This window comes from Homo sapiens, chromosome 4 (genome assembly GCF_000001405.40).
Source record: "Homo sapiens chromosome 4, GRCh38.p14 Primary Assembly".
NCBI classification, from domain to species: domain Eukaryota; kingdom Metazoa; phylum Chordata; class Mammalia; order Primates; family Hominidae; genus Homo; species Homo sapiens.
The window spans coordinates 174209527-174233081 of record NC_000004.12 but is presented as its reverse complement, the minus strand read 5'-3'; the positions used below and the strand labels follow the sequence as shown (position 1 = coordinate 174233081).

Sequence of the window (23555 nt, the reverse complement as noted above, 5' to 3'; positions counted from 1 at the left end):
CCAAACGTGTCCTAGTGTTCTTCAAGTCAATACAACTGTAGTCTCCACATGATGCAGAGTGAGGAGTTCCTCAGGCTATGAACTATAAAAATAGGAAACTCACCCAGTGCTATTTCTTCTAAGTATTCACTCCTCTGTAGGATCAACCTGCTTTTGGTTGTTTTCTATTACTTTCAGTTAGTTAATTTTTAAATATTTTGTCCAGAGTTTGTAATTTCATATGTTGGCAGGTTGGTCTGAAAGAACTTCTTGACCATCACTTGAAGTGGAACCCTCTCCAATTGGGTAGTATTCTTTTTCTACTTCCTATGATTACTGAGTAGGGATTTGTTCCTGATTATTTTTAAAACTAGGTGAGTAGAAATTTTTAACATGTTCTATCTATGAAAAACCTTAATTATAAACATTTAGTAAATGTTTACCAAATTAGCAATTCAGTGTTTCCTAGTTGGTGTCCTACTAGGAAGGAAAAAGAAAATGAAAAGAAGAAGAGAGGAAAGAACAAAAATGCTTAACAACTTTTAGAATTCCCTCCAAATTTGTCATCAATAGGGTTTTTACTGAATACATTCTTTTAAAATTAGCACTCTCTAATCTTGATGAATTTGTATTTTCATAAAAATCTGTATTTTCATATTTCCATTCATTTGCACTGTGTTTCTCTTCGGGAAAGCTGTTAACCTTTCTTCATATTTACCTGTTGAATGTTATTTGTCCTTCCAAGTCCTGTTAGATTCTTTCCCCTCCAGGACAACTTTCTTAATTCTTGCAGGTGGAAATTTTGTTCTTGTATCTCACTCAGTGCCTAACACAGATGTTAGCCCAGAGTAGTTTCTCAATAAATCCAGTTGAATCATTTTTGCTCTGGTTTAGATTCTATATAATCACATAGAAATATGGCTTTACTATTTCCATTTTTAAAAAATACATCCAGACCTTTCACAATTTACAAACCAGAGTATATTAGCTAACTTTTAAAAAATATTAAGATTCAACTGTGTATTATTCTAGACATAAATTCACCTCTCCAGAAATAATTTGAACTATCTGAATGAGTTATTGCTACTTGGAGATTGCCTACCTACTTTTTTTCGTGCAGACTCGGTGACCTTTTTTAAAAATAAGAAAAACATCAAGAGTTTGTCATTGATCTTGTTACTTCTTTTAATTGGTCTAAGTTTTTGACAATATTATGAATATTGTGCTCAATGAGAGTAAGCTTATTCATAAGCTTTAATATTTAAAATAACAACTTGTTTATTCAAATTAAAACCTGTTTTCCTGTGTCAAAAGTGAACTTTTTCCTAAATATCATTATTAATAACACTATTGCCTACAGTTTCTTGTCAAGCATTCATAAGTGAATGTGTCTTCTTCTAGAAAGTCATCTTAAGGAAATAATTCCAAATTGGGAAAAGGCAATATGCACAACTTTAATTACATCAGTTTTTAAAAGAAAAAAGAGATGGAAACACTGAAATTCTAACAAATACCCAACAAATATTCGAGTACATTCTATGTACCAGACACTATGCTAAGCACTGGTTGAGAAGACCAAAATACATCCTCATGATGTATTACTATGATGCAATGATATTTATCAATAATATGGGAAAATTCTTACAGATATTATAAAGTATATAAAATTGTACATGTGTGTATTGTACATATATATACACAAATTACAATTATTATATAAAACAAAGCAAAAACCTGTGAATACAAAGAAGAGACTGGCATAAAATATACCAAAATATTATAGATAGTGGATTTTTTGTGTATTTCCTCTTTAAAATCTTCTTAAGGATCATATATTTTAGATAGAACAAAATAAATTAATCAAACTATTCAGAATATGAACAATGTCCCTAATTTACCTAGTAGGCTTTCCCTTCAGAATGTTTCCATGTATTTTTATTCAAAATTTATTTTAAAAAGACACTTAGTTGACCTGTTAAATCATTATCTGGACAAATGTTTTGTTTTCAAGCTTAAAAATGTACATTGTTTTATTTTATTTTTGTCTCATCAAATTAAAGACCAACAAGAGAAAGATATCAAATCTTTACTGAGGAAATTTTTATTTGTTAAAAAAAAAATAAAGGCTTTCTTCCTGGCATGGTTGGACAGGAAGGTTGGATTTAATTTAAAATGATTAATGAGATTTTGTCAGACTCCTTGACTTTGCCACCACTGCAGTTTGTCAGTGCAACAACCTGGGAAGCCGGACGCCACTCTGTCGCCCAAAACCATTCTCCAAGGAAAAAATTAACTGGAAGGACTAGTGCCAGGTCCCCATCAGTGGCGTTGTCTCTCTGGTATTGACAGTTTAAAAGTCTAAATCAGAAATATGTATGTTTGGGGACTCACATACTTAAGATATTGTTTTTAGTCTCTTTGCAAGTAGTTAATCACTTTTTAAATATTTAAGTTGTTGACATTTTCTAAAGGAAACTTTGAAGACAAAATCTGTACTAATGTCCCCTCTCAATTTGTTTTAAAAATTAAAATAAACAAGGAATTTTAGGATCTCAGGTTACATTCTATTTTTTAACTTAAAGAATTAAAGTGAAGCATTTTTTTAAAAGTAAAATCATTTTTCATTGTTCAAAATACTTTTAAAAAACAAGCATGACTAATTTTATAATCAAGTTTTTAAATTAAGGTATAAGGTTGCAATATGACTTAATACACCCTTATTTATGTATGTATTGTTTAAAAATGATGACATTAGCTAAACTCAAATTGCTGAATATACCTAGTTACTAGGTGGCAAATGGAATATATATTTTTGCTTCAATACTGATATTGTATTTAGTATTGTACAAATTGTTGTATTTGACATTTGTGTTTAACTGAAAGTTAAGTAAATGTTAATACCAATTAAACACCAAATGTCAATTGCTAATTCCAAAAACAATACCAATACCAAATTACAATAACAATTGTACAAATTGTTATTTGTATTTGTAGCAATTACCAATACCAGTGTTTATCATTTTATTTCAAAACCTGTCCAAAAGAATTCAAGCCAGAGAAAATTCTTCCAAAAAAATCCTCATAGAAAATGTCTTGATATAACAAGACATCCAGTAGCTCCTTTTACAGAAACTTAATGTGTATTTGCCAATTTTTATCTAAACAAAAAATGAACAAAGAGTGCCCTCATCTTGAACAAGTTGAGGGTAGTTGTCTCCTCTGAGCTGCATGAATATATGTTCCCAAAGGGAAATTACCTTTTGCCAGGGCCAGAGTTCCAGTGAATATCTGCCTGTGCTCCTGTGGTAGGCAGTCTGAGAAAAGTGGGGTGGCCCAGAAAAGTTTATCAAAGCTGCTGCCCTTTTAGAGAGGACAATAAAAGGAGCTAAGTAAAGTAGCTCCGTGTATATACTAGCACAGTGACACCCATCACATTGCCCTCCAGTGAGTTTCTTCCAAAGCCCATGTCATTTTCAGTCTTGCAGCCATTGAATAGTTTATTGTATCTCTATAATTCTCAACAATTATATATTTTATTTTCTCAATGTTTGTGAAATTAAGGGAAGGAGAGAAATACATATTTTTCCCTAAAAACTGATTGCAAAGTCTAATTTAGGCAATTGTGTTTGCAAAGGAGTTCATAGTTATTCATTTTCTTTCCCTTTGGAGTTTTTTGTTCTTACAGCATAAATTCTAAAAATATGTATTTCTCTCCTTCCTTTAATTAATCTTGGTACTATAATATATAGTATTTTCCTGGATGCCATCCAAAAAAGATTATGACCATTGTCAATAATAAGCCAGAGAAATGAAAAACTTGAATGAAACCAAGCTTATATTGGATTAGGTGAAATTCAATGCCTTGTAACAGCTCTCCCAGAGTGGCATTTATTACCATGATGGATTTGTATTGGTTCTGGGTCTGGTTCTTAGCCTCAGAAATCTGGTTTTGTCAGCACCCCTCAAGCACGTGTATTTTTCATGACATGATTTTAAATCCAGAACTAAAGGAAATGTTACAGTGATAACCTACTAAATGTGATCAGCACCTTCTCTCTCTCTGTTTACCAGCCTACAGTAAATTGATTGATGGGCATGGAGTCCGATCAAGGGGAGTTACCTGAATCAAATGCTTTGTGTTTTGCATCAGACTTAAATAGCCAAATGCACTCCTCAATAGAGATCATTTTGCACATTTAAAATTTGATAGCTGAAATCACTTTCTACTAGAAACTGCCAAGAATTGCTCCCATATTGCTTTTAATTTTATACTAAGTAGCATGGTGTTTTGCCCTTTCTTTCATCAGTTTCCCCTTTCTTTGACTCAGAATGTTTCTAATACTTCCACTTATTATTACATCAATTTATTAAAGTCTTAATGTAGCCAATCACGTTACAGGCAAGACCTGCTGTTCCAACATCATTCTGATGTACTTTGTGCTTTTCTCACTGTTTAAGGGAAATATCATTTCTCACATATTCAAGTTCAAATTTACCATAACCCCTAAGTACCTATGATACAACGATAAATTTAGAGCATTATTTTATATTACAGTGACATTTTAATTTTTAATATTTAAATAAGCATTTAAAGATGGCTTATGTTGTGCAAGAAAGGAACTTACTAGGTGTTGTGAAAGAGACAAAAATGAAGAAAACTACCCCTCATTATTAAGGACTTCAGTGGGAGGAAGGCAACCATAATACATCACATACAGTTCTGTAATACTTCATATATAGTATCACCACAATTTTTCAGAGGTCTGGAGGAGTTACGTGACTTTTGGAGGATCACATGACCATTTATAGGGACCAAGACAAACACTGACTCCCATGTGCCTTTTGTTTATTACTAACCTTAATGAATAGCAGAAGAAACGATGTTAAAAGATCTTTTTAAAAAAGTACTAGTATTTTAGAAAGAGTAGAGTAAGCAATTAATACCAACTGGCTTAGTGTGAAAGAATGAATGCTATTTCAGTAGGTATATTACCGACTGAGTTAATAACATGATCAAAGGCATGGAACCAAAAGCATATAAGGGTCATGAAATAGTGAATAATCTGCTAGAGTTGGAGGGTAAAGTGGGAGTGATGTGGAAGAAAAGCCTGGAAAATATAGTTTGAACAGACAGTAAGCTAAAATAGAGAGTCAGTACTTTATTGTGTAGGCAATTGGATATTTTTCAAGAAGAAAAGTATCATTTCTGATCTGTGTTTCAGAAAGATCTCTCTAATACATGAAGTAGAAATGCAATAGACTGTAGTCTAAGGAAATTAGTGAAGAGGCTACTATAATTACGCAAGTGAAATACAATGGAAATCTGAACTTTAGTACTGTCATTGGGAGTAGAAGTGATAGAAGCAAGATTTGAGATAAACTTTTGAAGTAAACCATTTTGGTGTACTACTGGCTGTTGGACGTGAAGATGAAGAAGTTAAAAACTACTCCAAATACTCTGAAGAAGGAGTTCTATTCTAGATGGAGGGAATGTCAGTGAAGGACACGTCTTCTTGGGTTGGGAGGAAGGTAGTGATGATGGGGAGGATGTAAGCAGGTGAGAATGAGTTCACTGTGGTCAATTTGAAGTATTCATAAGACAATTATGTGAAGGTATTCAGCTGTTAGTTGTATAGTGTTAAGATGGGAGATAAAGGCTAAGATACTGTTCTGGGAGAGTCCTCAGCATAGACATAGCAGAAGAAACTAGAGGAGTTGATATGCATTGTGATATTGTCATGAGCACTTAGCACAGTGCATGGCAAGCTGTAGGATCTAAATACGTGTTGTATGAACAAATTGATTTTGACAAGTGCTCTCAAATCAAGCATCCAAAAATCTCAAAGTACTTTAATAACATTCCTTGTATATAAAAAGTTACCATCCTGTCTCAATTTAAACAATCTTCCAGAATAAAAATTTTAAACTAAATAACCAAGGTGCACTCTGTTCAGAAAGGTTTCCTCCTGCCAGGACATGAAGTATTCTACTTAACAAATATTCTTTTTTAGCTGACAGACTGTATCTGACCCTTTAATTCGAAGTACCGAAAACTAAAACTTTAGCATGAAACCAAACCAAATTATATCTTACTCTGGTGATTAAGATGCATGCAAACCCAATCCTCAGCCAACCCCAAATGTTTCTTCTAGTCCTCAGAAACCCAGGTTTAGTTGTTTTCACACTTCACTGAGGTTTAGGATTGCAAGGCATCTTCTAAGTTTTGTCTCATTGCCCTTGATTCCTTGCTGTCTTATAATACAACTACAAGCCTCAAAAGAACCAAAACGAAGCTGTTCTCTTCCATCCTCACTGCCTTAGAATGTGTTGTGTTCTTAGCAGAAATGAGAAGAGGAGCCCTCTTCTTCTAGAGTTTAGGTGTAGTCTTGGAGACCCTCCTTACTCTCCTCCACTGATTCTGCCCTTGGCCCTCGGTGCCTAAGTTTCTCCTCTATGCCCTTCTCTGCATGCAAAACAAGCAGACATCTCTGGGTCACCAGCATCACCAATTTCTCAAACAGACCCACACTTAGCTTAGGACCACCCCAGTGCTCCTCAGCCTCTGCAGCCAGGCACCTGCCTCATAATTGGGGGACTATAGAGTTTATTGTCTAAACCAGGACACTTTTGAGAGTGCTAAAATGCTAAACCAGATGGTACTTCAGGACAAAAGGCATAAACTTAGGATGTGTGGTTACCCTACCCACGACTATAATACAATGTGATAAATGCAATAATAAAAGTTTAAACACTTTGCAATGGAGACATTTTGAATGTAACGCACCATGGGGTCAAAATTTGTTTCCAATCAAAAACATCACTAAATTATGTTCTAATCAGCATCCATGATAAAAACCATGGCGTTAAGCTTGGGATATTTGTATTATGCTGCACAGCAGAGCCCTGGCTCTGGGAGGAAATACTTTTCCAGCTTCTTGGGAATGTATTTTGTAGCTCAAAATTCCTGCAGGGGAGCTCATTTTGCAGTTTGGTCAATGCCATAAGGAAGCAAGTCTCAGAAATCTCTGAAAAAGTTGTAGAAATATTTCTTTGCAAAACTGATAATAAAAATCCAAATTATAGATCATATTTATCTTACATTTATTGTGCTAAGGGCTTTGTATTATTTAATTTATTTAGCCTGCAGAAGTATGCTCTGAGGAGATAAACATGACCATTTATAGAGGTCACAGGCTAGCGAGTCCTGGATCTACTGATTAATCTCGCTCTGTCTTTGCAGCCCTGAGAGGATAAGTGCTTTCCAAAGCAGAGGAGCAGTAAAGGCTGAGCCCGGGAGGCAGAAACAACATTGGTCCATGCACCATAAAATGTAAGCGCCATGAAAGAAGACACTGTTATATTCACTTCTCCATTCCCAGCACCTAAAAAAGCCACTAAAACATGATAAAGGTCAGGAAATATGTGAGGAAGGAAGGAACTCACAGAGGGAGATGGGTTTGGAAAAAAAAAAAAAAAGGCAGAAGCCGTATCTGGCAGGGCCTGGTAGGTAGTAGCAAAGAATCTGAATTCTATTTCAAGGGCAATAAAACATTACAGAAAGATTTTAAAAGAGGAGTCATGTGATGTGATGTATGTTTTTAAAACAATCATTCCTGACTGCTGCGTGAAGAGCGGGTAATAGGCTGGAGCAAGAGTGAAAGCCCGGAGTCCAGTTAGCAGGCATCTGAGGCTGTTCAGATGGAAGGTCATGAAGGCTTAGAACTGGGTGGCGGCAGTGGAGATACAGAGAACTGAGATGGTGCCATGGCTCATGCCTGTAATCCCAGGCCTTTGGGAGGCCGAGGTGGGAGAATTGCTTGAGCCCAGGAGTTCAAGACCAGGCTGGGCAACATAGTGAGACCCCCATCTCTACAAAAAATAAAAATATAAAAATGAGCTGGTTGTGGTAGTGCACACCTGTGGTCCCAGCTAGTCGGGAGGTTGAGGCGGGAGGATTGCTTGAGCCCGGGAGATTGAGGGTGCAGTGAGCTGAGATCACACTACTGCACCCCAGCCTGGGCGACAAAGGAAGACTGTGTCTCAAAAATAAATATATATATATATATCGCGAGAGAGAGAGAGAGAGAGAGAGAGAAAAGAGGGGAGGAGACGGGAGGGGAGGGGAGGGGAGAAGAGGGGAGGGGAGGGGAGAAAAGAGGAGAGAGGAGGGGAGAGGAGGGGAGGGGAGAAAAGAGGAGAGGGGAGGGGAGGGGAGGAGAGGGGAGGAGAGGGGAGGAGAGGGGAGGAGAGGGGAGGGGAGGAGAGGGGAAGGGAGGGGAGGGGAGGGGAGGGGAGGGGAGGGGAGGGGAGGGGAGGGGAGGAGAAGGGAGGGCCTGAGAACTCCTGGATTTTTGGCTTTAAAAACCGGACAGCTGCTAGTGCCCTTTACTGAAATGAGGAACACTGGGAAGGATAATGCTTAGAAAGAAATGCAAGGGAGTTTAGCCATTAATCTAGATAAATATAAAAACTAGTTAAGGATAAGATAACTGTTTATAATAACATATGAAGTAAAAACCCTAAATAAAATGTTTACAATAATTATAATTATGAAGAAAATGTATATTGAAAATTTTGAGTAGAAAATATGGTTACATGAAAACTTTGATGTATTGAGGAGTTATTGAGAAATTTGTGGTTTTAAAAAATTTTATTGAGTTCTGCTCTGCTTGTCATACTATTGTGAACTAAAAAGTAAAATTCTCGTAAAAGACAGTAAGTCTATGAGAAAAGCCTAAAATGATAGTAATCCAGAATAGAATTTCATCATAATAAAGTCATTAAAAAGTTGACATATTTTGTAATGGGAATTAAAAATAAAAACACTAAAAGCTCTATTTCTAGGTCCTGAAACCCAAAGCAGAATTATTGCAGTGAGGGTTGGGGGGAGGGTGGGTGAGATTTATTCCTTTGTTTAAACTAACTGAAGGTAAAATCCCTTTACATTTAAAATTGTATTAAGAATGGATTTTTTTTTTACTAGTAATACCTTGGCTTGATTACATTATGATCTATAAATACATTTTGTATGAATGACTTCTCCATGAAACAAATTGTAGTTATCAATCAGTAAATTTGTTAATTGAACTATGTGGAAGGCCCTGAGCTAAGCAGAACAGATATAAATTGGTGCTTGATTGTGTATTGAGAGGAATTGAGCCTGACTTAAAAGTTTTTCCCTAACTTCGAAAAATAGCTTCCCTACAACTCTGATAAATGGAAAACAACCACATCTATCAGAAACAACCCATATTTCCAATTTATGTATAAAATAATATATCCTTTGCTTATTCACAGCTGTTATCAAAACTCATGGCCAAATGTATAAACTCTGCTATGAGGCACACATTTTGAATGTGTTGAGAATTATCACAGCCAAAGTGAATATCTAAGGAGAAAAATTTCAGCTATAAACATTAAAATGTTAATGTTTTACTAATAATTATGTCCTTAGACACACAGTCTTGTTGGGGAGAACATTTTCACAAAGAAAAATATTTATCTCTAAAATCTCACTTTATTTATGTATTTTTAGAGAGTGGGGTCTTGCTATGCTTCCCAGGCTGCTCTTGACCTCCAGGGCTCAAGCAGTCCTCCTACCTTGGCCTCTCAAGTAGCTGGGACTACTGGTGAGTGCCACCATGCCTAGCTAATATCTCACTTTTGGATTAGAGGCTACTCATCTGAAAACAAAGATACAGATTTCATATGTTAGACAAGCACAGAAAAATCTCAAACTCTATATTTAAACAACCCTACAAGTGTTCTACATCCTGTATAAACCATTTTTCAAAGACGGAAAGATTTTTTTTCTTTAATCTCTTTGGGAGATCTAAAGATGCATAAAGATCCAATTTCATTGAGAGAAAGAACACAATTCTTTACCAAAGAAAAGGTGTGATTAAATGAAGTAATTGTGTTTCTTTGCTATAAATGTGAGATCTCACTTAAATGGTCTCTGAAAACAAAATACATGCATAAAGGCCCAATTTCACTGAGAAAAATATCACAATTCTTTTCCAAAGAAGAGGTCTGATTAAATGAAATAATTTTATTTCTTTGCTATAAATGTGAGATCTCACTTAAGTAGTCTCTGAAAATAAAATATATTCATAATTGCATGTATGTACATATGGGCATATGTGTTTGACTACTTATCAGCATGGATGTTATTGTAAGATGTTAGTGTTTTGGACACTAACCCCCCACATCAGCAAATCAAAGTGTGATATCTAAATTGATCTAGGTAAATTTGAATAAAATTGAACCAACGCTTTGTGGTCCTTCTGCAAAGCCAGATGTTCAGACCCTTAGGCAGATTTCATAATCCACACATCTGGGGGCACAGAGAAATATAGGGAGGAAAAGAGAAAAATCTCTTAAGGTAAGCTGGGGGATCTTGTAGATGGGCCACTAGGGAACACAGCTGGCTCTCTTCTTGAAGAGATGAGCCCCAAGCAAAGAATGCTTTGTAAAACTGAACACAGAGTGAATCCTGACCGTTAGCTATTAACTGTAGAGCTCAAAAAGAGACTTTACAAATATCATTACAAACAAAATATGGTGGAAATTTTCATAGAAAGCCACATTCTTTGTACCAAATTTTGCTCTGCAATAGGCAGTCACTTTTGCACACCTTGCCACCTAGTGGATAACCTGAAACCTACAGGATTTTTCCCCTTAATTTCCATGCTCTGCGGAAAAGTTCCCCAACTCTACCAAGGGAAGGTTATTTTGTTTGTTTTAGTCATTGGTGCTCCGAGAATTGTAGTAAACAGTCAACAAATAGTTGTTACATTAATAATAAACATTAAGTTGAGGCATACTTCATTTAAAAACTATTGTTATGGGGAATGTAATGGAAAAGATAGACAATATGATGTTGGCAAAATGTGTTTCCTAACTGAAATGAAAGTTTTGAATTATTTCAAAAGCAAATGCTGGGGGATCTATAGTTTCCTGTTAGAGATGTATCTACATAGCACATCAGGAAGAGGAGCCGGGCGCGGTGGCTCAGGCCTCTAATCTCTGCATTTTGGGAGGCCAAGGCAGGCGGATCACTTGAAGTCAGGAGTTCAAGACCAGCCTGGCCAAAATGGTGAAACCCCTGTCTCTACTAGAAACACCAAAATTAGCTGGTGTGGTGGTGGGCACCTTTAATCCCAGCTACTCAGAAGGCTGAGGCAGGAGAATCTCTTGAATCCGTGAAGTGGAGGCTGCAGTGAGCCGAGATCATGCCACTGCACTCCAGCCCGGGCAACTCCAGTCTGGTCAACAGAGTGAGACTCTGTCTCCAAACAAACAAACAAAAAACAAAACAAAAGCAAACAACAACAAAAAGAGATGTCATTATTGCTCTGTGTAGACAAATCATCCAGATAATTTAATTTAGCCATTGAGAGCCTACCCTTCTTTCTTCCAAGATATCCCAAATAAAACTAACTGTAAAAGCAAATATCCTTGCTCCTTTGTCTAGACACCATTGCTACTTTCATTCTTGCTTTGGGCTGTGATGCTTGCTACTCCCTTTTTCTGCTGTCCCAAATTATGAAGCCCTTTTATTCATTTAAAAAGAATACCTATGCATATGTATAAATATATATATATATTTTTCCTTTTTCTAAATAACATTTTATTCATTTTGACCATGTGACTCATTCGTATGGTCAATGAGCCCAAGGTGTTGATGACTCTTAAACATGTTTCTCCTAGCATAAATATTGGTGGCAAAAAGCAGAATAATGATCATAGTTTTGAAATAGAGAATACCATTAATGTCTTTGATTTTTGAAAATGATATTTTAAAAAACAAACATGACTATGTCGTGATACCTTAAAATTCAGGCTGAAAACAATTTATTAGGTAATCCACTTCAGGTTTCTTTTGCAGGAGGATTATTTTCCATTTTCTTATGGATTATTTTCCATTTTCTTGCTAAAATCAGCAAAACATATATACATATAACAATATACCACTAGTTCATTAAAAGAACTTATTCTTTTTGTTCTCAAATCAAGCTCATTTTAGATTGACAATATCTTAATGCATTTTAGGAATATATTGTCAAGATTAAAATCTTACTTTTTATTAGCTGAAGTTGTATATATTCATTATATAAAACTGACTTATGTTGCATAGAATTAAAACCCTCCCCAGAGTTCATAGTTTTAAACAAATATGCATACATATCCAAATACATATTAAATCCAAAGCAAACAATAACTTTATGTTGACAGTGAAAAATGCAACCTTACATACATAGTCTACAAAACAACTGAAAAATTTTAAATGCCAGATATGAGGAAGCCAAAGAATTTTAACAATGAGAAATATGTTATGAATTAAAATATTCAATCTTGAAAACCTTTAAAAGTGAAAGTTGCACTGTAACTGCTTTCTAAGGTAATTTTTGCCACTTTTAGGAAAAAAGATGTTTACGTAACATTTTTAAAAGTACAATCATTTCTTACATAGCTTTATGATTGAGGATAACATTAGTATGCACATACAACATAACACACAAAAGCAAAGCTTAGAATAACATTTTAATTATGTTTTAGTGTATGTGAAATAATTTGTTTTTCTCAATTATATTCCTGGGTCAAGGCCTAAAACATTTATTTGAACCAGCTATATATCTTATTTTCATAAGGGTCTCAGGAGGCAGTAGTCATATGTTGTTACTTCAGCCCTCCACAAAGGCAATACAGTACAGATCTCTGTACTGTAAACGACAACAAGGACCAGTCACAATTTCAGTTCTTGTTACATTGATAAGACTCCTTCAGGTAAGAGATTAAAACATGCCTTTATTATTATAAGGTTAGTGACCATTTTAATGGAATAAAAAGATTATTCCTGTTGCATTGGAGATAGGAAATTTGGGATGTGAATGTATGAGGTAGGTGTCTTTTCTCTCTTGTGCCTGTATTGTTCAAAAGCTCTTTGACATTAGAAAAAGGTTAGCTCTATAATCTTAATATTAATATTTAGTATAAAATCTATGGAGAACACACATTATACAGGGAGCCAAAAAGTTCAACTCTTTTTTTAATGGAGAGAAGGTAAGTAGGTGATCTTCACAGACTAAGAGGTTTTGCCTTTTAACACCAACAACATAATACTATTTATATTTGCTCTATCATTGTGATTAACCTACCTTCCCCTTCCAAAAAAACACACTTAGCTTACTCACCTAACAGTAATGACATATATCATTTTAAAAACAAAGAATAGTTTCAAAATTAATTTTTTCTACCTAATGTGCGTGACTGATGTTGAAAAGTTAGTGAGGGTTACCCATATATTCACACATGTAAATTGTGGAAATAAGAGAGAGAGAAAAAACTCAACAGATATAATCTGTAAAGCTGTCAAAAGACTTTCAAATAGCGAATTCCTTCAGATCATATATTTCAATAGAAGTTGCTGTTTAAATAGAGGTCTCTCATTTGGTGGGAGGAGCTTTTAAAAGAAAAAATACTTGAAGATAAGTAATATTACCTTTGCCATTTGTTATGAAATAAATATATCATGAGGAGTTATGCTTCATTAAAATGTAATACTTATAGATGACAGTTTCATATGGTCAGATATAAAATGTATATATGTTTTACCAGGAAGATTATACAGTATTTTTAATCTTGATTTTTCATGACTTCTTGCAAATATGCATTTATTGCTTTCCAAACCATGCCTGGGAATGAAGGAGAAAAAATTGTTTTATCCGAAGAGTTAGCTGTTCTTCCTTGGTTCAATCAGGAGTAAGTTCTGATATCATAGAGGGGAATGTATTAAGATAATTCCTAAAATATAACTGTGCTTTTACTGTTTTGCCTATGCTGCCAGAAAGTTAAAAACATTTTGTTTCAAATAACTGTGTATGTTTAAAAGTCAAACCTATTATTTGCTATATTATTTGTCATGTGCTATAATTTGACAGAGGGGCAATATTTCTCCAAAAAGTAAAATTTTATAACCAAAGGCCATCAATTGTACAAACGACTAAGAGAATTAAATTTTATTAAGTTGGAAATGTAATTTATTCATTGTAACTGTTTTAAGAGAAATTAAGTGAGCACTTTGTATGTAGTTATCTTAAATGTTACGTGTATTCTTTTAGAAACTCTTTCTTGTTTTCCTTCTTTTCACCTTCAGTGTCCTGGCACGCGACTAGCACAAATCAAACCTTATCTGTCATAATAAACTATAGCGTTGGAAATTCTAAAGAGACTAAAAATTACTTAACGTCTTTAACATATTTGAAGTAATATTTATGAATAAGGGAGGGCTGTCCATTTTTGAGTTTCGTCGCGCCAATGGTTGAGGGATTTTCTCATTATCATCTCCTGATTCCCAGAGAAGAAAGCCAGCCGCGTGGCCTTAGGACCCCTGGCCACCGGGAGTGGAGGAGCGGAGGGTCTGCCCCAGCTACCCCTGTGGCCACCGCCTCTCCCTCCAGGTGTGTGTGGGGAGGGGGCTGACAGAAGCAGGAGGCGACTTGCTGAAGTAGGGAGGCCAGACTGAATTTTTCCAGGATTCCGGGACCTTATCTCTAGGAAGCACTTAAGGACTTACTATCGCATTCTTTATCTCACTGTCTTCCGACTGCCAGGCTGGGTGCCCAAACTTTGGCGGCTTTTTCACAGTTTCAACGGCAAGGGTGGGAGTGGGGCTCGGGAGCTGGAGAGGAATGGCACGTTACGCCCCGTTCGGTTTCAAGGCCATGATTGCATCGCTCTCTGGAACGAAGATGGCCAGGAATTCGGGCAGGGAGAGGAACCACTCAATGGCAAAGTTGGTAGTAACGTCGTGAATTGTAAAGAGGGATAGCCCTCTCCTGCAGTCTCCAAGCAAAACCTTTTTCGCAACATGGGTGCCTGTCCAGCTTAATTCTTTGCTATCTTTCTTACTCGTGTTTTTGTTAGGGGACCGTTATAAAGTGAATTTTTGAACTGCTGGGTTGAGAAATAAACAGGGAAGGAACTGGGAAGATTCAAATTAGCTTCCACCGACCCTATTAGAGGTCCCTGGGCAGGAACCCCCCTGGCCACAAAATGTCCCGCAGGAGGTCTGCCTGGCGGAGGCGCTGCCTGGCGGAGGCGTGGGCTCAACCGAGTGGGCGCTACCACCGCTGGCTTCGGAGAAGCAGCCTGCGGAGAGCGGTAAACCGCAAGGGAAGCGCTTCAGGATCTGATTGCTTTTTAATAAAAAGATATGTTTGTAACCAGATGGAACCATTCTGGCTCCTTTATCGAGAGCGCAGCTTGGCCGCTTGCCTGGCCCTGGGGCTCTGGCCACAGCCTCTGCTGGGTTCTGGAGGAATTCAGATCTAAAAATAAATGATCGGGGATAATTCTTCCCCGAGGCGAACGGCTCGAACTCCCCTCCTCCACCCGCCACTGTCACAGCAATTCACCTTGAACTCTAAGGCGGATCGTTCCCACCTCCGCTCAAGGGGCCTGGACGCGGCGGTGGCTTTGCAGCCTCCTGCACCCGGAGCTCTGCTGGGCATGCTGCAGCCAGGACCCGCACCAGACTGCTCCAGGCGCCCTTAGGGTCCTGCCGGCTGGGTGGAAGTCAACACACTTTCAGTTAACCGAGGGGATTGAAATTGGATCCAATGAGGGAGGAAAAGCTGAAATCCCTGCTCTCTGGAGCTGTAGAGCACCAGGTGGGGAGACATTGCAGGTCAGAGGATAAGTCCTCTGCATTAACTGCGGCGCAGTTCCCTGTACGTCTAGCAAACTAGGTTTATGGTCTACGTGGGTCACAAGCGCATAAATCATTGTCAGCCCCGACAGTAGGTGCAGAGCTCTCTGCCTCGCTCTGGCCACACCAGCCTTTAGACAGGCTAACTGAGGGGGGGGCTCGGCGCGAAATTTCCCAGCCTAGAATATTTGCCTCGAATCTTTCTGTCCAAGTCTCCGAGACAGCTCCAGAATATGCGCTTGCCCTTTTGATAGACCCGCAAAGGGCGCGGTCTGGCAACCAAGCGCATCTGTTCACTATGGCCTAATGATTGTCCTGCAGTCAAAGAATCCAAGAGGGCATCATCTGATCTTATTTTATGCGTGAGGAAACCTGACGCTATCCAGGTTAAAGTGACATTGCACGAGGTCACACAAAGCTCTGGTAAAACTCCTTGATCCTAGGTTTCTTGATTCTCGCTCTCACACCTGGCCCCATCCATCGTCCTGCCTCAAATATCCACTGTGTTGTAGAGATACCAGGATCTGAGAATGCCTGTAGAGAAGGACTCATTATTTGTTGTCTTTGCAATTTACTAGTACAATTTTCAATATGATAATTTCCAAAGTCCCAGGAATGTACTTCAGATCTTCTTCCTCATTCTACCTCACAATTCACATAGGAGGAACCCCAGTGGCAGCCAGATATCGGGGTTTTAGACACCCAGCTGCTTCAGCCACTGAGCCCTGGGTTACCAGCACTTAAACAAGTCAAGAAAAGGAATTCCTCGCTGAGCCGGGAGGACTGGGAGAGATGGGGGCTCGGACTTAGAGAAACGCTGGAGAGAGACGAGTGGTCAGGCAATCAACTTTCACCTTCTCACAAGCTATTAGTAAAGGGACTGTTTTTTGTCCAGCAAACTCTCCCCTCAGGCATGCAGGGCTTGATGTTATCGTGATTACTTTTCGCTATTCACATTAATTATTTTAAGACAACACACACACACACACACACACACACACCTTCTCACTTAGAGTCAATGCCAACTTGAGCCATTTCAAATCGTTAGTCCTCTTTGTGAATGTGTTTGCATTTTTAAATCTGGGTTAGAAATTTGGCAGTCCCTCAATTATTCCTGAAGTGAAAAGGCCACAAAGTGGTCTCTTCCCTTCTTTTTTTCATTCAACTCTCTCTCTCTCTCTGTCTCTCTTTCTCTCTCTCTGTCCAGGAGTTGAAAAGAGAAACTCCAACCTTCAACTGTCAACTGTTTTCCAAACATCAGATTAATGTTCCCCAGGACTCGGTAGTAACGTGACCTTTCTGTTTTCAGATGTGTTTTTCAACATGTAATCGTTTGTTTGTTATGTCTCTCATATGGAATAAAGAAAGCTGGGGGAAGGAGTGTGGGCTGCCAGAGGCAGGAAAAAAAAAAAAAAAAAAAAGGATGTGGAGGCTGTTTTTGTTCCTTCTTCAAAATGCTCGAATCATTTTATTTTTAGGCAAGTAGTCCCCAAGGGAGGAAAATCTACAATACTCGTCCTGAAAAGAAATCCAAGCACTTGATGAGCAATTATTTAAACATAAACATCCCCAAAACAAAAATCTAATAAATTGATTTTAAAAAACATCTTGCAGGAGAGGAATTTCTGGGATGCAGGTAACGCTCTTTATCTTGATCTAAGAAATTCCATAAGAAGGTTTTAAAAAATAATTTATCAAACTTTTCATTTATGCCTCATGCCCGTTTTTGGACGGTTACACTTAAATTACCATTTTTTTTTTAATTTGAGAAAGGAAACCTCTAACGTGTGTATATTACTATATTCTACATCTTAGTTCTAATAAATTTCCAAACCAATATATTTATTAAACGATTAAGAACTTTGCCACTAACTTGTTTTCTGAGTAATAGGTTCTGAATCAAAGTGAAAACAGTATACTTGAATTAGTTATTCGAAAACCAGCATAATTATTTCATCACTTTCTAATATAGTAAAATGTCAAATATGCAATGAGTTTAAAGTTTGTTTTACGAAACCCCAAAGAAACCAAATAGTTATTTTGTTAAAAACAAAAGCTTTATACTTAAAAAAGAAAAAGTATTAAGTTGGTGCAAAAGTAAATGCGGTTTGTGTCATTTGAAAGTAATGGCAGAAACCGCAATTACTTTTGCACCAACCTAATATTAACTTTTTTTTGAGACTAACTCTTATTAGAAAACGTTTTATTCCAAAGAGGAATTTTAAAAAGCCATACTCAAAGGTGAATTTCTGCTACTAGAAAGATGCCAGTTTTAAACTCCTCCCCACCCCCATAAAATATTATTAGGCCGCTTTCATGGTTAGTGACTAAGCATTTTACCAAGAAACCAAAGACTAAATTGCTCCCCTCAATTAATCAACAGCTTTTATCTCCGGCATCAGCTTCACTAATGACCTCACTGCGGCCCTCCAATCCTTATTTTGTGCTTTCCCTTATCACCGTCTTCCAAATCACCCCAATATTTCTCCTGCCCCGTTCAAGTTAGAGGCATCATGATCCCCATCTAGAAAGCAATTTCCTGACGACTCGCTTAATTATCGCCCGCTCCCCCGCCCCCACCTTCCTAGCTCTACTTCCCTAATCGACCCTTTATCACCCGGGAACAATCGCTAAGCCTGAGCTGCCCACATGGAGGCTTCGCTGCTGCTTTACTTTACAGGCCCTTCCGCGGTTTTATGATTGGTTGCTGTGGTTGGAATGTTTATAGATAATAAACAACTAATCCATTTCTTGCCTAATGAATTGCCCCACCCGCGTACCAGTTTAACACCCGTAACTAGCTCCAGGATCAATCTGCGCCAGCGACCGAGGGGATGAGGGGGGCGAAACCACCCAGCCTCACTGCCGCTTAAAATCAAAGCCGAAGAACTCTAGGTCAGCAGACACCTATTTCCCATTTTCCAGTTCCTCTCCTCCGCGACCCCCCACCCTCAGCTAGGGCTCGGCGCCCACCTGCTCCTCTGCCCACGGTCGAAGGAGTGAATTTCAAAAGTGCTTTTCTTGGCTTCTAAAAATGTGAGAGGGCGATCCGCGAGCTTGGGCGCGCTGCCTGCGAGACTGGCGCGCCCACAGGAACCGGCACTCAGGTGACGGGCTGAAACTGGTGCCTGCAGCGACTGCTATTTTGGCCCAACCAGCCTCTTCAGGCTTCGGCGGTACACGCCCCGGGGGTAGTTACAGTCCTCCTGGCTCTGATGAGTCTCTGCCCGCGGAAGATCAAAAAGGCTGAGGTTGGCAAGGGCGTTCCTCCCGCACCCGACGGCTGAGAAGGAAGATGGGCAGGATAGGTAGTGGGGAGGGCACAATCTAGTTAACACTCGGAATCCTGTCTGAAATAAAGGAAAATGCATGTTCAGACTCCCAAGAGACCCGGAAAACGCGGAGGATCTGCCAAAAGCATTCCAAGAAGAGAAGAAACCAACGCCAGGGAGAGATTCTTTTATACACATTATGGCAGCTGCACATGGCTTCCGTCAGTAACTGGGGCCAGGGGGTGTGAGGACGGTGACCGGGAGCCAAGGAGAGGGCCACGGGAACCGAACACCGGAGTCCCTATGGTGTTGCGCTGTGGGAGTCCAATGTCTAGTCCTGGAGCCTCCGAGAGCGCGCTGGTGGTCCTTTGGGACCTTCCCTTTCGGTAAGGACCCAGAGGAGGGAAGTCGAATAGGAATGGAAACCCGAAAATCGCAGATAGGTTCGCTTACTAGAGCTGTTTCTAAAACCCACTTAACAGCCAGCTGAGCTTTCAGTGGAGAGACTTCCTTTACTTACACAGTAGTTTGAAAGTTCTGCAGTTTTGTGTTTATAGATTTAATTTTAGAAAGCTAATGTGTATGCCACCTTCCAACTGAGCCCCCTGTTCCAGGATATCTTCTTTCCAAGATCCCAGAGAAGGACCCTCAGAAGCACTCTCTGCGGCAACGCCCCCATCTTATTTACCTGTGATTTTACTTCCCTTTATTATAAAGAGTAGGCGAAGATGTCGTTGGGTCAGTACTTATTTTACCAGGTGGCCAATTCTTCCCAAAACTCTGGCAAAGAGCACTTTAACCCCTGTCTTTTCCTTCTTTCACTAATCTTGGCTGGGAAATTCCATTTTTCACCGGGGTGGGTGGGTGGGGTGCAGTGGGGATGGTAGTGTTGCTTCTAATGTTCTGTCATTCAATTCACAAATATTTACTTGATGCCTACTGTTTTAGACACTGGGGACACAGTTTAAAGACACACATGCACACAACAGTTTAAAGACACACATGTGCGCATACACACACACACACACACACACACACAGACCCTTTCCTAGAGCTTCCACTCTAGAAGGAGTCTCAGGTTAACATTAGGACTCACTTTGGGCTGGGAGCTGAGAGGATGTGATTTTTAACAGAAACGTAAGGAACAACGCCAATCATCTGGTCAAAACTTTTCTCTGTGTCACCTAAGAAGTATCTTCATTATGTGTAGTTTAAGTCATAGCCTTTCCACAATGTAATTGATGTGCTTAATAGCAGATAGCACTCTCCACACCTTTGTGCTCACAGAGGCTATTTTCATTGCTGGGGTGGGGGGTAAGATGAAGGGTACTCCAGGCCATTCTCAACTGGTGTTGGTCATTGTTCAACTTATGAAGTCAACAATTTCAGATTTTTAGTGTCCTGAAAATAATCTTGGCCCCCACATCTTCAGTAACACAATGCCGACTTCAAGACAAAAAGCAGGTTCTGTCCCTCACTGAGAGAGGGATTTTTCTCACTCCATCAGCACTGAGCTTGGATCTTTTACTTACCTGAGGTCTCATTCTCCTCCTCCTCTCTAGGGGAGTAGGAGTTGCCTGGGAAAGAATTAGCAGCTCCTGAAAGGCAGGTTTCTCCATGCATTGACTGATTTTGCTGGAAAGTTTTTCCATTTCTCTTTCTCCACTGAAAGTCTCCTCCTCAGTGAGAAGGGAAGCTGCCCATTGAACACTGGGGCAAGGAAGCTCTCTGGGCCTTCTTAACTACACGGGCCACTCTTGCTGAGCACAAAGATACAGATTTAACTACCCCTTAACAAAGAAGAGAATTAAAAATGACCCACCAAAGAAAACTAGAATAAAAACAAAGGCAAAGCGGCCACCGCGAGCTGTTTGATTATTTTCTCTGACTTTGCTCTTTGATTGGAACCTGCCTCATCAGAAATAAAAATAAATAAGAACACAAAACGTTGATTGGTTCTTCATCAGTGAATGTGTCCATGGCTGATACAGAGAGAAAAGAAAATAAATCCTGATTGCTTAATGAAAAGAAGAAAAAAGTAATTTGTATAAATAGAGCTTTAGAAAAAGGAACTGAAGAACCGCGCAGGAAAAGGCTGCCTGGACCAGCGGGACATTCGCTGACGCGAGGGAGCTGGGGATTCTGGAGTGAGTCTTTGCGGAACCCGCGGCAGCCCTTAGAGAAACTGAGCCACAGATCAAACAGCAGGGAGCTGGCCTTAATTTTATTTGATCATCAAAGGATCGGATAACTCAGCAAGGCGTCGATGTCTGCATTTTAGGAAGCACTGAAAACTTTAGAAAGGTGTTTGCACTTCGGAGTGGCTTCTTCTGCACGTGATGCACAAAAGAAAAGCCTCTTACCCGCAGGAAAGTACGGCTGTTCCTGTGTCTTGACCGTGCCAGATCCGGTAGACACCGTGTGAGCGCTATTGACTGTCCAGCGACTTGCGGAGCTGAGAGCGTAGTGGTGGTCACTTCCCTGAGAGGTGGTGCCTACTGAGCTGGGGACCCAGAACGCTACTCTTCAGCCTCAAGTAGCATCCTGGAGGTCTCTCTGACAAGGCTGAGAGTGTTCAGGGATCATAGCCTGCAGAAAAGGGAGAAAATGCGTATGAAAGCACTTTGTCAACTGTAGAGGATTAGATGGCAAGATTACCATGCGCTTCTGAAAATTTCATATATAAATGCAGGGACAATTGGTAAGAAAACAGTAGGTAGAGTTCTGGTTTCGTTTCATTGTCTCTGTCCCATGTCCTTTAGTTCCCACTGTCATCCGAAGCTGACGTTTACTGAAACTTTACTTGTAAAATCCAGTGTTTCTGCTTCCTTTTTCTTTTGTAAAGTTAAGCTGCTCATAAACTTGGCTTCAGAATTAACCAGGAATCACTCTCCATTCAGAAGCACAAAATTACCATTTGTACAGAGGTATGTTTAAAGGAAACTTCCTCTAGTGTAGGCCTGGAAATGTGGACTAATAATTCACACATAGCGAGTCACAGCTATGACTCCAGTTTACTTCTCACGTTAATATAATGTAAAAACTAGCCACAGTAGGATTTTTTCTCATTTCATTTAAAAAATTGCAAAAGTTAAATAAATGCTCTGCCCACATCTTGCTGCAGGGAGAATATAATTTGAGAAATTATGGCACATTTCACTTTAGCACCTTAGATGATCATTTATCAATAATTTTCTATGCAAAAATAGAGGCACTAAACATCAATGTGTATAACAAATTTTGTGCAGACCTTTGAAAACTTTCTTGCATGGATTTGGGGCAGATTATAATATTTTATAAAACAGAACTCGGGTTGAATATTTTAGAAATTATTATTGGTGTTGGTGACAACAGAAGGCTTTTAGAGTAAGATTCAGTTAAAATGAAAAGATAGTTGAAAGGATCAGAAAAATAAAATACTTATAACAGAGAAGAAAAATCTATGTTGATCTGGAAGTAGAAGCTTGGCTGACCAAGGGAAGGGGTGGAGGAGAGCCTTCCCCTTTACTAGGGATCAGCCCTCCACTCTCTTGGTGGCAAGCCTCAACTGTCAGAGCCTGGGTTTCCTATCACTGCCCTCTACTGCTCAGGGTTGCATTCCTTTTCTTCACCCCTCCACTGCCCTGAGCTTCAGAGTACTTTACAGTTCCCTAAAGTGACAACCCAGGGAGCATTTTTTTTTTTAAATCCCCTGATCCACCAAAACTTACTAGATTTTCTCCAGGCCTCTCGAGGTCCCAAGAGCTAATAGATAAACTTATTCGTATGGAGGTGCTAATGGATGGTTTAATGTGTTCTCTGGTCCACTCTGTTATAGCTGCCCTAAAACTAATGTTTTCAATGCCTTTAAAAAGATGGGACTAGAAGTAGAAATTGTAGGCAGCATTGTTTACAAGGGGAAATACTCAGGGGGAGGTTGCTTGTAAGGGACCTTTTCACTGCAATAATATCTTGTTTACCTATGGTGAACTGGCCAGGCCATCTCTAGTAATGAGTGAATTCACTTATCCTCTAAATTAGTAGTGAAATCTTTTCTTCAAATGGAATGTTACCTGGAAGTCTAATATATGAAATCAATTCAAAATGACTACCTTGGTTGAAAGGAGACTGATGGACCTATTACTTTGTAAACTAGGATAATATTAATAGCAGCCAATCACTCGCATCTTTTTCACTTCTTCCCCGGGGCTCCTGGGAATACAGTTTTAACATTATTATCTTTCATGGGGTCAGCATGGAAGATATAAACATCATTTATAAAAATAAGAAACAATCGGAGGCAGAAAGAAATCGTATAATTAGAAGCATTTTCAGCGGCCATGATGAGAATAACTATATATGTATAAAATATGTGTACAATTAATAGATCCCATAGTCACAGATTCATAAATATGTTTATAAACAATGATTACTGGGAAGCATTCACTTTTATATCTTCTTTAAACCAAGTGTCTAGTCACCATCTGTGTTGTCACCATCTGTGTTGTCACCATCTGTGTTGAGGAATGTACACTAGAAAAATCACAATTCAAAGTCTGGGAAGAGAGCCACAGGAATGAAATGCAGAGAACATTGTGGAGATATATTTTCTG

The 23555-nt window shown here is 38.8% G+C and overlaps 1 long non-coding RNA gene across 1 annotated transcript in view, besides 2 other annotated features; it reads left to right on the top strand.

Annotated features, from left to right (window-relative positions):
• Positions 1-12683: 12683 nt before the first annotated feature.
• The window catches only part of LINC02268 (long intergenic non-protein coding RNA 2268), a 125739-nt gene continuing 114867 nt past the window's right edge, over positions 12684-23555 (top strand). The window contains exon 1 of the long non-coding RNA NR_125896.1: positions 12684-12768. This is a non-coding gene — a long non-coding RNA (long intergenic non-protein coding RNA 2268). The remainder of the gene's footprint in view (positions 12769-23555) is intronic.
• Positions 17946-18606: an enhancer, noted in NCBI's record as "NANOG-H3K4me1 hESC enhancer chr4:175135627-175136287 (GRCh37/hg19 assembly coordinates)". NCBI's record gives its function as "activates a minimal SCP1, AML or CMV promoter by ChIP-STARR-seq in naive and primed H9 embryonic stem cells {active_cell/tissue: H9 hESC(naive and primed)}" and the evidence as "EXISTENCE:reporter gene assay evidence [ECO:0000049][PMID:30033119]".
• Positions 18717-18776: an enhancer, noted in NCBI's record as "active region_22161". NCBI's record gives its function as "activates an Ori minimal core promoter by ATAC-STARR-seq in GM12878 lymphoblastoid cells {active_cell/tissue: GM12878}" and the evidence as "EXISTENCE:reporter gene assay evidence [ECO:0000049][PMID:35858748]".